At 52.2% G+C, this 14,378-nt stretch overlaps 1 protein-coding gene across 18 annotated transcripts in view, besides 1 other annotated feature; it reads left to right on the top strand.

The window, feature by feature from the left end:
- The window catches only part of TTC7A (tetratricopeptide repeat domain 7A), a 160,258-nt gene that overhangs the window by 90,023 nt on the left and 55,857 nt on the right, over positions 1–14,378 (top strand). For all 18 annotated transcript variants that reach the window (XR_007078570.1, NM_001288953.2, XM_047445148.1 and 15 more), the window contains 3 exons: positions 34–171; positions 753–836; positions 5,443–5,547. Coding sequence is in view for 17 of the 18 variants with exons in the window: in NM_001288953.2 (NP_001275882.1) it covers positions 34–171; positions 753–836; positions 5,443–5,547 (327 nt within the window). In the remaining variant the exon portion in view is untranslated. The remainder of the gene's footprint in view (positions 1–33; positions 172–752; positions 837–5,442; positions 5,548–14,378) is intronic.
- Positions 428–1,324: an enhancer, noted in NCBI's record as "H3K4me1 hESC enhancer chr2:47233455-47234351 (GRCh37/hg19 assembly coordinates)". NCBI's record gives its function as "activates a minimal SCP1, AML or CMV promoter by ChIP-STARR-seq in naive H9 embryonic stem cells {active_cell/tissue: H9 hESC(naive)}" and the evidence as "EXISTENCE:reporter gene assay evidence [ECO:0000049][PMID:30033119]".

Raw genomic sequence — 14,378 nt, forward strand, 5'->3', positions numbered from 1 at the left:
CTCACTCTTTCCCAAACAATGTCCCACCCACAGGCAACTCGAGATGTGGTGCTGAGCCGGGTGCCGGAGCAGGAGGAGGACCGGACAGTGAGCTTGCAGAATGCCGCAGCCATCTATGACCTCCTGAGCATCACGTTGGGCAGAAGGGGACAGTACGTCATGCTCTCGGAGGTACGGCCGGCCATGCAGCCCACCCCACTCTCCGGAGTCAGGTGGTCTGTAAAGGAAATCAGACAGAGCCATTTGTCCCTTCTCCACCTGTCATTCCCCTGCCAGGCTGCTCTGCCGCTTTGACCTCGGCAAGTTGTACAAGTCTCAGCTTCCTCATTGGTGAAATATGGGTAGTTAGAGAACCCACCTGACAAGGTTGTTGGGGAGAGTGCATGTGAAAGGCTGAGAACAGTGCCATGCACAGTAATAATAAATGTTCGCTGCTATTTTTATTACATGTCTACGTTTTGAAAGCACTTTCACAAATCTTATTCCATTTGCTCTTTGCCATCACCCTGTGAGATCATTCACATGTTAAGGAGGTGAACTGAGGGCCTGAGAGGGTGAGAGACTTGAGTAGGGTCACACAGCAAGCCAGGGGCAGGAACTGGGTTTCGGCAGGGTGTCTCCCAGGAGCCAAGTGCGGGCCTCCTGCAGCCTCCCAAAAGCGGTGACTTGGGCAGTAACTACCCTGGAAGGGTGCGGATGGCTGGGGTGGGAGGACCCCTGGTGGGTAAATGCTGACTATCTCCCCTCCCCAGTGCCTGGAGCGAGCCATGAAGTTTGCGTTTGGAGAATTTCACCTTTGGTACCAGGTGGCCCTCTCCATGGTGGCTTGTGGGAAGGTAAGGCCCAGGGGGCGCTAGGGGTTGCACACTCACCCGCAGGGGGCTCTGCTGAGATGGACAGAGGGGCTTTTCTGGCCAGGGGAGTGGGTGGGTATTATCCTGCCGCTGGTTTGAACCTCCGGGAGAGTGAGGGGCGTGGGGTGGGCCACACAGACACCTTGTGTGAATTCCTGTCCACGTGCGAGCTGTGAGTGTGCCGGTGTGCTGGTGTGAGTCTGTGGATGCTTTTCTCTGAGCGTGCGTACATGCATGGGAGCACTGTATCCTCTGTGCTGAAGAGCTAATAATGTGACTGCATGTGGTGGATATGAGGTGCATCCAGGTGAGTGAACATTGTTCCACGTGGGCTGTAGTTCTCATCCTGTCCACTGAGCATAGCATCAGGAAATGGCCTGCTTGTGGACTGGAGACTTGCCTCGGAGGGGAAGCTTAAAGGGCAGAGCAGAACAGCAGCACCCACAAGGGAGTTCGGAGGGAGTACTGCATGATGCATGGGGCTGGGAGCACCTGCATGGGGACAGGGCCTGGCGGGACGCTGCCCGGAGCAAGGAGCACCGGGCATGAGTTCACTCTCTATCCACCCAGCTCCGGTGCCATCACCCCTGCTTTTTGCTCCGATCAGAATTATACTTACATAAGCCTCTATTTTAAGCAGTGACATGAAAGGAAAACCTTTCTGGAGCTGAGTTCTGAGGGTGTTGGGGCTGAGGATGCTATGAATGCAGGAAATAAGGTGGCATGAGCTTGCAGATTGTTCCAGGAGCTGTAAATATCCAGAGCCCTTTCATGGGGCTGAGGGAATTCCTCGCCCCCCTGGCCCATCTGTGCCACGTTCCATTTCTGGCCCCGCAGCCGTCTCTGAGGAGGGCCCTCCTGGCTTGCCAGTGCCTCCTCCACGCATCAAGGGCGTGCCAGCCAGCTCGGGGCCTCGGCAGCCGAGGCAGGCCAGGCCCTGGCAGGGAGGGGGAAGAGGAGCAGGTGCTGCAGCCTGAGTGCGGGGAGAGGCTTGCTGGGGAGCCTTCCCTACCCCCATCTGCTGGGCATGTGTCTTTCCAAACCTCTCTCCTCTCCCCCATCACATCGGACACCTCACAGAGCATCTTGAAGTCACAGCATGATCTCCTTGGCTCTGTGCTCAGCAGGGTCTTGTCAAGGCTCAGGGAGAATTCAGAACACAGGGCAAGGCCCTGGCCCTCCAAGGGTTAGAGAGTGAGAGAAACCCTCCTACAGAACTGCAGGCAAAGGAGACAATGTGGGCAACGGTGAAGGGGCTGGAAAAGACGAGCTGGCCGTGGGGATGGGGACAGGAAGGTGTTGAAGGCACCGGTCAGCCTGGGGTAGTAGGGACAGGGCCGGGAGGAGGTGGGGCTGGATCTTCCATGGAGCCTGGGGAGACAGCTCACAGTGGCATGGGCAGGTTCTTCCTACCTCTGGGAAACACAGAAAGCCCGTCTAATCTTGGGACAGTGAGTACAGGTGGGAGAGGCCTAGGGCCAGAGCAGTGGTTCGCACCCTTCTGTGGGTCCTGGACTCCTTTCAGGAGGTAAGGGAAGCTGAGGACTCCTGCTCAGAAAAATTCACTGCACGTGCAAGTTAGCTTTAAATCCGAGAGAGGCTCCTAGACGCTCTCCAGGCTCAGTCAAAGGTGTCGTGATAGCCTGGGAGGTAAGGAGTCTTCTGCCTCTGACTAGCTGGACTCAGAGAGATCCAGACACAGCCTGGCACCATCCCAGCATCCAGGGAGCTGGTTTCGCGACTTGGCTCCTTCACAGACCAGCAAGGTGGCCCCGGGAGTGGGCTTGCATCAGGGAGTTAAGATTGGCCAGTTGCCCATGCATGAGGCTTCATGGGCTGGAGACACTGTGTGTTCGGTGCAGCAGGAGATTGTTCTGGAAAGCATTCTCCACCCCCCTTGGGAACCCTGCCCACCAAATCAGTCTGCCTGATTGTCCCAGGCAGCCCTCAAGAGTGGCCAGACCTTGCCTTTGCTGAAAGCCTAAGGTGGAATCAAGGGCCTGTATCTGTGATTATGCCCGAAAGGCCTTCCAGAAGGTGAGTCTGGGTAGTTGAACCTGCAGGAATAATGGATGAGTTCCGTGACATGATTTAGGTCGTTCCTTCTCTTGCTCTCTGTGCGGCAATTGCATTGGCTGTGTTGCTAGGTAACCAGCATGACAAAAAAAAAAAAAGCTGCTGCTCCGGCTGCTGAGTCCTCAGATGGCTCCTTAAATAGCAGCGTTTTTTGGTGTACGTGGGGGTGGGGTGGAACGGGGTGGAATGCAGAGGGTCAGGGTTAGAGAACCCTGTGTGGCAAGGATCCAGAGTTCAGCAGCCATGAGAAGGAGGCCGAGGAGAAGCCTGAGGCTTGCTGGGGTGTGGATGGAGGGGCCTTGGGGAGGGACTTGGAGTGGTGTTCCCAGGGCAGGGCCTCAGGAGGAGGTAGATAGCCTGACAGTGCCTTCAAGCCCCTCAGGCACCCTGGCACCCGCCCACTCTGGGCACCCTGTGGAGTCTCCCAGCCTGCAGGAGCTGGTCACCTGCTAACACCCTCTTGTGCTTGGCCTCCTACCCTCTTGTTTCCAGAGAGAGCCATGGGGGTGGTGGCCTTTTTTGTCTCTCCCACCCTTTCTGTGGGGTCCTTTGAGGAAAGAGCCATGACCTCATCCCCTTTCCTGAGTGACCGCACAACGCCTAGCCCAGTACTGGGTGAGAGCACACCCTCGGCAAAGACACCCGCAATTAACCTAATAAGTCTGAGCCAAAGCCCAGGGAAATCTATCACGTCTGGGTTGAGAAAAGCTCTTCCTTAGATGGCGGGGAAAAGGGGAGGCCAGCTGGAGGGAGGCGGGGTGTCCAGGGTGGACATAGACCATTCGGATCATAGCTGTGCACCTGCCAGTTGCTCATACCCTGCTGTAGACAGGCGAGCCTTCCAGAGCCTCCGTTTCCTTCTGTACCTCCAGAGTTGCTGGGGGGATATGAGAGCTAATTAATGGGGGGTTGCTTGGCCCACAGTAGGGCCCAGTACATGGGAATTGTCATAGTTACACACAGGTACCTGTAAACCTGGAGGTCACACAGGTACAGGGGTGTACACACTGGGAGGATTACTGCTGAGTTTCTTAGAAAAGGTTCCAGCCCAGAAAGAGTGTGTGTGTGTTTTTTTTTTTTTTTTTGGTGGTGGGGGGGACAGGGGAGGGGGCGCGCAGGGAAACAGGCCGCCTTTCTGGCCAAGGTGCTTATCATAGAGGCAGTGTAGGGTAGTGGTTAGAGCCAGGCTACGTTCAAACCTCAGCTCAGCCATTCATAGGCTGTGTGGCTTTGAACAAGTTACCTGACTTCTCCGCATTTCAGTTTTCCCATCTGTAAAGTAGAGTCAGAGTATCTGCATCATAAGATTGCTGTAAAAATTAAATCACTTGGTATTTAAAATGCACTTAGAACAGGGGTCTCCAGACTCTTTTCTGTAAAGGGTCAGATAGTAGACGTTGTTGACTCTGCAGGCCCAACAGTTTTTTGCAACTATTCCACTCTGCTACTGTATCAGGAAAACAGCCATATACAGTATGTAAATGTAATGCACATGGCTGTGTTCCAGTAAAACTTTATTTACAAAAATAGGCAGAGGGCCAGATTTGGCCTGTGAACTGTTTTGCCAACCCCAGACTTAGGACAACGCCTGCACATCCCAAGATCTGGATAAGTGTTTGCTGCTGCTGTTCTTCTCATTACTGTTATTGGTAACATTCGTGTCTGGCTGTGGCTGCCCCGCCCCGCCCAGCCCTCCTTCACACTTGGCCGTCCTCAGCAGGTCCAGTCTGAGTCCCTGAAGCCTGGGGGGATCCTCAGATTACTGTCTGGAGGTTCTCTCCGGCTCTGCCAGTTTAGAATATCTCCCCTTCCTCTCTGCCAGCCTTTATACGACCCCCAACCCCGCCATTGGCCATGCCTCCAGAGTCCTTATTTATTTGTTTGTTTGTTTGTTTGTTTGAGACACAGTCTCACTGTGTCACCCAGGCTGGAGTGCGGTGGCACAATCTCGGCTCACTGCAACTTCCACCTCTTGGGTTCAAGCGATTCTCGTGTCTCAGCCTCCTGAGTCGTTGGGACTATGGACACACGCCTCCACACCTGGCTAATTTTTGTATTTTTAGTAGAGACGGGGTTTCACCAAGTTGGCCAGGCTGGTCTCGAACTCCTGAGTTCAAGTGATCTGCCTGCCTCGGTCTCCCAAAGTGCTGGGATTGCAGGCGTGAGCCACCGTGCCCAGCCCTCATTTAGAGAGCCCCTTTCTACCTCTAAAATTTCTGTGCTTGAAATTTGAATTCCTTGGGGAGACCTTCCATTCGTTTTCATGTTAGCTGTCATCATGTTACCTAAAGAGCAAGGGTCACAGCCTCTAATCTTCAGATGAGGAAACTGAGGCCCAGGGAGGGATTTGCCTGCCGACACTGCCTAGGCTTCTCTGCCCTGGACCTCTTCCTGGCTCCTGAGAGCAAAGGGATACAGAGCAAGGCTTGGTTGTTTGGGAAGCTCGCCCCACTGTGGGCCCTTGAGATCCAGGACTGTGAGTGACAGTGTTTCCTGCTCTTTTTTTCTGCAGTCAGCCTACGCTGTGTCCCTGCTGCGGGAGTGTGTGAAGTTGCGGCCCTCGGACCCCACCGTGCCCCTGATGGCCGCGAAGGTCTGCATCGGGTCCCTTCGCTGGGTGAGTGAGCTGTGAGGGCAGGTCCCAGAGGCCTCCTGTGGGGAGGGTGGCAGCAGCTGGCTGTGCACGTCTTGACGTGTATGTGTGGGTGCATGCCGAAGGTGGAAAGGATGGGAGCTACCAGGCAGATGGGCCTGGGCAGGGAGAAAGTCTCTGAGGAGCTGCCAGCCTCCAATGGCAGGGTCCCCTGACTCAGGATGGTGTCTGGTTTGGCAGTTCAGCCTTGAACTGTGGCCTCCAGAGAGTGAAACATAAGGAAGTAGAGGTGTTCCCCACCTGCCCAGCAGCAGAGTAGTAGGTAAGACCTTGAGTCACCTGGACCAGCCTCATCATTTCTGAGGCTTCAGATGACCTTAGCATCCAATCTGCAAGGGCCTGCAAGGCGCGATTCTGGGGGCAGAGCTGCTCTTGGCGGAATGGGAAGTTGGTCTTTTCTGTCAGCCCCTCTCCTTCCTCTTGGCTCCAGCCCTCCAGGGCCCTGCCCTGTGCTCCGCTGCCTGCTTACTGCTCTCTGCAGAAGCAGCTGAACTGTTAGGAGGCTATGGCTCCAGGTCTGCTCTTTCCCCAGTTCGAGGCCTTTAACCCCCCAGTTGGGGGTTGCAGGCTCCTGAAGACTCCCATGAGATCAGCAGCTTGGAGTAGTGAAGGAGAACAGTGCCAGGAGCCCAGGTCCCCCGCCTTGCTGTAGTCCTCCTGCCCTGGGCCTACTCGGATGCTGCTCCAGGCCTATGGGGGCTCTTGGGCCACGGCACTGGGCCCCAGCAATGGGGCCTCTGTGCAGGTATCTCTTCCGACTGGGGGCCCACTTCTGGATAATCTTTGCTTTCTTCAGTCCCAATCAGCTTGCTGATGTCAGCCTCCTATTTCTACCCTCTCAAGCAACACAGAGCAAGCGCATTCTCCCTCCCACATGATGGATATCAGGCCCTTCTCCACCCACATCTCCCCAGTTCCTTCATCTGCTCTCCAGGCCCAGGGTCTCCTAAAGTGGGCACTTCCCCTGGAGATGGCCTCCCTGTCTTCCAGTTGGCCTGACACCTTCGGCCACCCCCTCACCATTGTGTGCCCAGCTTGTTTTAAGGCAGTGGGGGCCAGGCTCTGGGTGCATGCAGCAGGAGCTTCATAATTAGCAGCCTTTACAACTCTTCTTGCCACTTTCCCTCCTGTACACAAACAAATCATGGATTCTGGGGAGGGAGGCAATGAGCTTTCCACAAATTCCATGTTCCAACCTTTCTTCCCTGGGATTGGAAACTGGCCCCATCCCTCTGCTGGGTCCCCGCCTCATCATCGCAGCAGGGCTTGCCTTCTCTCTGCTCCAGGGAGTCAGTCCTCCCAAGCACAAAGAGGCTGGGTGAAAAGAGCACCTTTCCCCTTTTCCACCTGGTTCTCAGATCCCTGTGTCTGAAGTGCCCCATCCCCTCTGTGGCTGATCAGGAGGAAGGGAAAGTGTGGCATCTGGCTCGTGTTCTTTATGCTGTCATTTAGGCTGGGGAGAATTACGTGAGATCAGTCCTGTAATGGGCTCTGGGCTTTGGAAGGAGCAGTGTAATGAGGTAGTTAAGAGTTTCACTGCCCACCCACTGGGTACCCTAGAGTAAGGCACCTAACCTCACTGTGCCTCAGTTTTCTCATCTGTAAAATGGAAACAGTAAGTCTCCTCGGGTGGGACATAAATGACCAAGTAGGGAGAGGGCTGGACGGGTCAGGGAGGCATCATGGAGGAGGCAGCCTCAGACTGAACTGAGAGGGCAAGGGAGGATACAGGAGGGCCAAAACCAGGCCCTTGCATCACAGCTTGCTTTCCCCCACCTCATGAGTATCAGGGAACCCTTGGTTCCCAGGTCTTTTGGGGAAGACAGTTGGCACCCAGAGGTAGGGCGACCTTGTGAGCAAGCACTTCAGATACAGGTGGCCCATGGGTGCTGAGCACGTGCAGCAGAGGGTGGAGATATGAGCCAGAGTGTGCAGAGCAGGTGGGCTCCCCGACCCCAACTCAGGCCGCTGCTTGCTCCTAGGGCTTCTGAGAGGGGCCTCAAGCTCATCTCTGAGATGAAACCCAAAATACCCATCTCTGAGGGGGTGTAGCGGGGGAGGGCATCTGTGCCCCTCAAGGCTGCCAGCTCTGAGGTAGCTGTGGGTCCACCCAGCCAACGGCCGCCCTTGCCAGGAAGCCCTAAATTTAGGTCTTCCCACCATGCAGGAGCTGTTTCCCTCAGCAGCATAATTACAGTAATTATGTGCATTCAGATTACATGGTAATAAAATTAGGATCAAATCAGTCCAAATTGAAATCAGATGAGTTAGGAGCAAAGTAATCAATGACAACATAAATAGAAAAGCCCAAAAGGAAACTTAAACATGCAGACTTGTCATCAGAATCGAGGAGAAGGGTGAGCTGTTTAACTTCAGCTGAGCAGCATATTTGGGTTCAGGGGCTAGTTTGAGCCAGGGTTTAAATCAGGCACAGGCCAGAGTGATGTCCCATGGGTGGCCCGAGAGTGGGCTCCTGGCAACCTTCCCTGATCTGGAAGCTTCACCCCCTGCACCTCCTACCTGTCTTGGATACAGATCACATCACATTGTGATCATCTGTGTTTCTTGAGTGCAGGAATTATCTGTCTCTTCTTTGAAACCCCAGCCCAGGGTTCAATGCCTGGTGCTCGCTGGATGGATCCTTCTTGCCGATGGACACATTCACTTGGCAATGAATTCTGTCTTATGTGGTGCATGACTTCCCAACTAGGTGGGGAACTTGCTCACTTGCCATGTCTTGCACTCTGACCCCCTCTCCCCCACAGGAAGCCTACATATAGTAGGTGCTATACTAGTAACTGACGAAGCGACACACATCCCAACCTGCCAGGAAGGGACCAGATGAGGGATCTGTATTTGGTTTGGGGGTTCTCCCAGCACTCTGCACCTAATTCTTGCTCCCTAGGTGGCACTGTAAAGAGAGCAGGCTGTGGGATATCCAAGGGTTCTGAGAAGGGAGGCAACAAGCTCCCCACAAATTTCGTGTTTGAGCCCCTTTTTCTCAAGGACTGGAAACTGGCCCCATCCTTCTGCTGGGTTCCTGCCTCACCATCCCTAGTTCTACAGGGAGGCCCAGAGTGGGTCAGCCCTGTACTCTCTGTTCCTGAGGCTCACAGTGAAAAGAATGGGTCTGCCTGGCAGGCAGGGGGTGTTCGTGCATGAGACAGGGCACAGATCCCAAAAGGCGGCTCACACCCCCTTCGTCTCCTGCCTTCGCAGTTATTCTGGCTCACGTCAGCCCCCAGCAGGCCCAGCCAAGCCCCATGAGCAGGGGACAGAAATCTGGGGGTGGTCAATTTGGCCTGGGTTGCAGAAAGGGAGGCTGAAACTAGGACATTTGGAAAACGAGTTGTGCTGGGTGAAGCTGGACTGGGTGGCCATGTGCCCAGAGGCGGAGCACCTGCTCTTCCCACATCCTGTCCTCATGCCCAGAGCCACTGTTGGACACCCCATACCGGGTCTGGGTCTGAGAGCAAGGTTGTGTCTTGGGGATTGTGGCAGGCAGAGGGACGTGCATGGTCACGTGCTGGCTGGCTGATTCGGGGGTTTGCACCAGGGTGGGAGTAGCTGAGCAGGTTTGGGTTTGGAATGGGAGAGCACTGACCCTGGGGCTTATCTTGAAGTTCCCCTTGGTGAGGGAGGGCTTCCCAGGCTCTGACTCAGTGACGCCAGCACTGAAATCAGAGAGGCCTGCATGGCAGCCTTCTGCCTTGGCATGCCCAGCCTCCTGCCAGGGTCCCTATTTTTGCAGCAGAAGGAAAGAGAGATGTAAATATTTTTTTGTATCCCTCCAATTATTTAAAATTCATTTAACTTAAAAAGTTGAAACCTTTACAGGAGGCAAAGAGGAAAGGCTATGCATGTGTGGTGTCACACAGACAGCAGAGGAGTTGCAAAATGGAAACAGGGCATGCTTATCTTTGGAAAGGTCTCTGATGCCATCTCTCACCTCCTTCCTGAGGAGGGCAGCAGGGGGTAGTGGAAAAGTGCATAGGCTTTGGAGGCAGAGATGGTAGAGTTCAAATTTCTGCCTACCCATGTACTCCCACTTACTAGCTGTGTGACTTTGAGGGAGTAATTTACCCTGTCTGTGCCTCGGTTTCCTCATCTGTAGCCTGGAAACAATCATGTCCGCCATTATGGGGTAGCTGTGAATATCAGAGATGACATGAAGAGTGCCCCTGCTTAGCACACTGCGGGTACCTGCATGGTTGCTATCACCGTTACAGCCCCTTGAAAATAGCAGGCACACAAAAAGGATGCGCCTTGATGTTTTTGACTTCATTTTTCAAATTCAGGGGTGGGCAGAGCCAGGAAGATGGATTAAGTGTTGATGAGGCAGGGGAGAAAGAATGCCAGCCCTCCTGCCACCAGCTTGTAGAAATTGGAAAGAGTGCCTACTACTCCTCCCAGGGAGAAAAAAAGGGGATTTTTCAGTAGAGCAGCTAACAGCAGGTTCCGGGCTCGTGGGAAGGAACTAAGGAGAAACTGGAGGTGCTGTTAAAAACTCTGCGGGCTCAGAAACGAACTTTCTGTAGTTCCCAGAAAGAGAGGAACGAGGGTGAAGATTCCGAGGGCAAACCTTTTTGGCTCACTGCAAGGTGAGGTAACCCTTGAAATGGAAGGCAGTCCTGGGCATTAGCAGAGTGTGTGAGCAAGAAGCCAGTCTGTGTAGGGACCAAATTCGAAACACTGGAGAGACAGAGGAACTTGTAAAGTCACAGGAAATTTTCCCTTACTTATGTAACACAAAAACAAAGGATCAAAACATTATGTCCTTCAATGCATCCTTTTCCAAAGGGTCAGAGAGGAGAAAAATGAAACCCTCCAGAGGGTAGCTGTGAATCAGCATCAGGAGACTGGGGTTGGAAACAGTTCTGCTACTTCCTAGACAGGTGACCTTGGATAGGTCGCTTCAGCTCAGCTCCCTGTGCCCTCAGCGCCTTCTGCTGTGAAACACCAATGCCATCAGGTAGCTGTGGTGCTGTGAAAATGCCAGGGGAGCCCCTAATCACTCTAGAATTGCAGAGGACTAGGCAGGGAAAGATCTTCACCTGGGTTTTAGTGGCAAGGTTCCATGGCTGCCCTAGATAAACAAGGCATTCAAGAGCAGTGTATCACTGGGAGAAGGAAGGTTGAAGAGAACTCTGGAAACTCACCCTAGAAGTATTTTGATGAGCAAGGAAAGCCCGGTGCTGTAACCTGAGCTTGCTGCAGAAGCAGCAGCCTGGACTACAGAGCCACCAGCTGTTAACTTGGAGGCCACAAGGAGGAAGTGTCTGGAAAGGGCACATGAGGTGCTAGGCAGGGAGGAAGACGTCTGGAGTAGAGCAGAAGGGCAGGCGCTGGGCCAGTCTGCAGCCATCTGATTAGAGCAATTTTTCCAGATCGCAGGTGGGGCCCATTAGTGGGCTGTGAAATAGAACTCTTAAAAAAAAAATTTGAGGCCGGGCAAGGTGGCTCACACCTGTAATCCCAGCACCTTGGGAGGCCGAGGTGGGTGGATCACCCGAGGTCAGGAGTTCGAGACCAGCCTGGCTAACATGGTGAAACCCCATCTCTACTAAAAATAACAAAAATTAGCCAGGCATGGTGGCGGGCACCTGTAATCCCAGTGACTCGGAAGGCTGAGGCAGGAAAATCGCTTCAACCCAGGAGTCGGAGGTTGCAGTGAGTCAAGATCATGCCACTGCACTCCAGCCTGGGCAACAAGAGCGACACTCTGTCTCAAAAAAAAAAAAAAAAAAAAAAAAAAAATTTGAGACTGGGGTGGTAGGTCATGCCTATCATCTCAACATTTTGGGAGGCTAAGTGGGAAGGGTCGCTTGAGCCCAGGAGTTCCAGACAAGCCTGGACCACATAGTGAGACCCACCCTGCCTCATCTCTACAAAAAATAAAAATAAAAAGGTAAAAAGTCAGCCTGGTGCAATGGTGCGTGCCTGTGGTCCCAACTACTTGGGAGGCTGAGGTGGGAGGATCGCTTGAGCCCAGGAGGTCAAGGCTGCAGTGAGCTATGGTCATGCCACTGCACTCCAGCCTGGGTTACAGAGCGAGACCCCATCTCAAAAATAAAATAATCAAAACCTTGAAATAGACTGTAGATTATCAGAGAATAAGATAGGAAATACTCCAGTGTATTACCCACAGTGGGGTGAGTGGACCCTGGATAGGGGATGGAAAGCTCGACCAGCTCAGCATAGTGGACTGTGCGGGCCTGCGGAGGTGCCAACTTATGCTCATGTAGAGTCACTCCTCTGTGGCTAAGGATCTGGCTGAGAGACAAAAGGCAGGCAGTAATGTCTACTCTCTGGATTCCAGAGGGTCTTTGATGCCACTTCCCAATTTGTCATGTAGCTATGAGGAACCAGGACTATACTCAGATGACACTTGCCATCAGAGACTTAGGCTGAGATATTTTTAAAACCATGGAAGATTAATTGTATAATACATATACAAAATATGGATATATATATATTAGTATATATGAGTAGTTGTAATTGATATACATATATATATGAACCTGGCTAGCTGCAGTGGCTCACTCCTGTAATCCCAGCACTTTGGGAGGCCAAAGCAGGTGGATCACTTGAGGTCAGGAGTTTGAGACCAGCCTGGCCAACATGGTGAAACCCCATCTCTACAAACAATACAAAAATTAGCCGGGCATGGTGGCACACACTGGTAATCCCAGCTACTCAGGAGGCTGAGACACAAGAATCACTTGAACCTGGGAGGCAGAGGTTGCAGTGAGCCAAGATCGCACCACTGTACTCCAACCTAGTGGGTGACAGAGTGAGAGTCCGTCTCAGAAAAAAAAAAAAAAAAGCTGGCCAGGCACAGTGGCTCACACCTGTAATCCCAACGCTTTTGGAGGCCAATGCAGGTGGATCACCTGAGCTCAGGAGTTCGAGACCACCCAGGGCAACATGGTGAAACCCTGTCTCTGCTAAAAATATAAAAAAATTAACCAGTGTGGTGGTGTGTGCCTCTAGTTCCAGCTACTTGGGAGGCTGAGGCAGGAGAACCATTTGAATCCCAGAGGTGAAGGTTGCAGTGAGCTGAGATTGTGCCACTGCACGCCAGCTTGGGATACAGAGTGAGACTCCATCTCAAAAAAAAAAAAAAAAAGCTTATATTATTATATCAAAGCTTATATACATATAAGAAAGTAGATATCATATATGAAATATACAGTTATATATCTACATATGTAAATATATAGATATATAAATTACAACTATTAATAATAGTTATTTTTTTTTAAGCACTGCTGTGAGCATTGCCCCATCTTATCTCATCCTGTCCTCCCAGCACCTCATCCAGGGAGAGACACTATTGTTATCCCTGTTTTACAGAAGAGAGAAGGAAGCACAACAAAACAAAGTGACTTGCCCAAGGTTAGCAAGTGACCAGCCTAGGATTTGGACCAGGGTGTTTGGCCCCAGAGCTTGTGTTCTTAGCTGCTAGACTGCCCTGCCTCTTTGCATGAAGTGCCTACTCATGGATGTGGGGCTGATTCCGGAGTTGGGTGGGATTATAGTAACTCAGAACAGAGATGACAAAGTCAAATTCTCAAGGGCTTTAGGATTTACACTCTTGTGACATTATTCTCCCCTTTTGCCAGCTACAGTACCCATGTATATTAATACTGTGTGCTATTGTATTGTATATTGTCATACTTAATAGAATTGATCATACTTTTTTTCCTTCCTAATCACTGCTATGACTCTGCATGCAAAAAGCCTGCCTTGTAGTATGGTAATAGAAATCAAAATTATGGCCGGATGTGTTGGGTCACACCTGTAATCCCAGCACTTTGGGAGGCCGAGGCAGGAGGATTGCTTGAGCCCAGGAGTTCGAGACCAGCCTGGGCAACATAGTGAGACACCATTTTCTATTTTTAAAAAAAAAAACACACACAAAAAGAAATTAAATTATGTTGGCCATATAGGGAGATGGTACATTAAGCCTTGGGATTTTGATTTGAGGCAAATGCTGACACCAGGCTTAGAGACGGTTTTAAACTACGTGGACAATGCTGGCAAGTACTGGACAAGGAGTGCTACTAATCTCGGGGTCAGAGTGGATCACAAGTTGGACACATTAAGGATGTGTGTCTTCACTTTATAAAGCTAAAGGATGATTAGCTCTTTTAATCTAGAATATGATGTATATGAACTGGAGAACAGATACTTTGCCAGTATCTGCTGAGCCGTATTCCTGGCACCCTCTCTGCATGGGTTGCAGGAGCTGAAGCTGGCATTTGCTGAGCAGAAGGACATGGCCGTGTATTCATGGAGTGCAGCGGGTGTCTGGATTCTTTTTATAACTTGTGCTTGGTGTTTGTAAGAAAGCTTTTTCTGTTTGAATGGAGCCTCATAATGCCTGAGATAGTGTGTGAGATGAGCCTCATTAGCCAGGGGTATATTAGGAAGAAAAGAGCGTGCTATTTGCTTACTTTCCCCTCCCTTGTTGCCTCCTTTTCCACCTCTGCTGCCTCCTGGGGTAACCACAGCCACCTGATAAGCTCTTGGAGTTCCAGTAGCCCTATGTCAGCACCACACAGTGGGGCCTTAACTAGGGGCCACCTGGTCCTGCCAGGTGTGTGCCTCCTGTGTCAGCTCCTCCGCCAGGCCTAGCACAGGGCCTGGAGCTACAAAAACCTCAGTGAAGGGCTGTGGGGAGCGGGGAGGAGCGGGGGTCCCACCTGCCATTTTGCAGATGAGGACCTTGGGACACAGAAACTGAGCCCCACAGCTGTCAGGTGCTGAGCCAGGAGTGGAGCCTGTCTGGG

This window comes from Homo sapiens, chromosome 2 (assembly GCF_000001405.40).
Source record: "Homo sapiens chromosome 2, GRCh38.p14 Primary Assembly".
Lineage (NCBI taxonomy): Eukaryota > Metazoa > Chordata > Mammalia > Primates > Hominidae > Homo > Homo sapiens.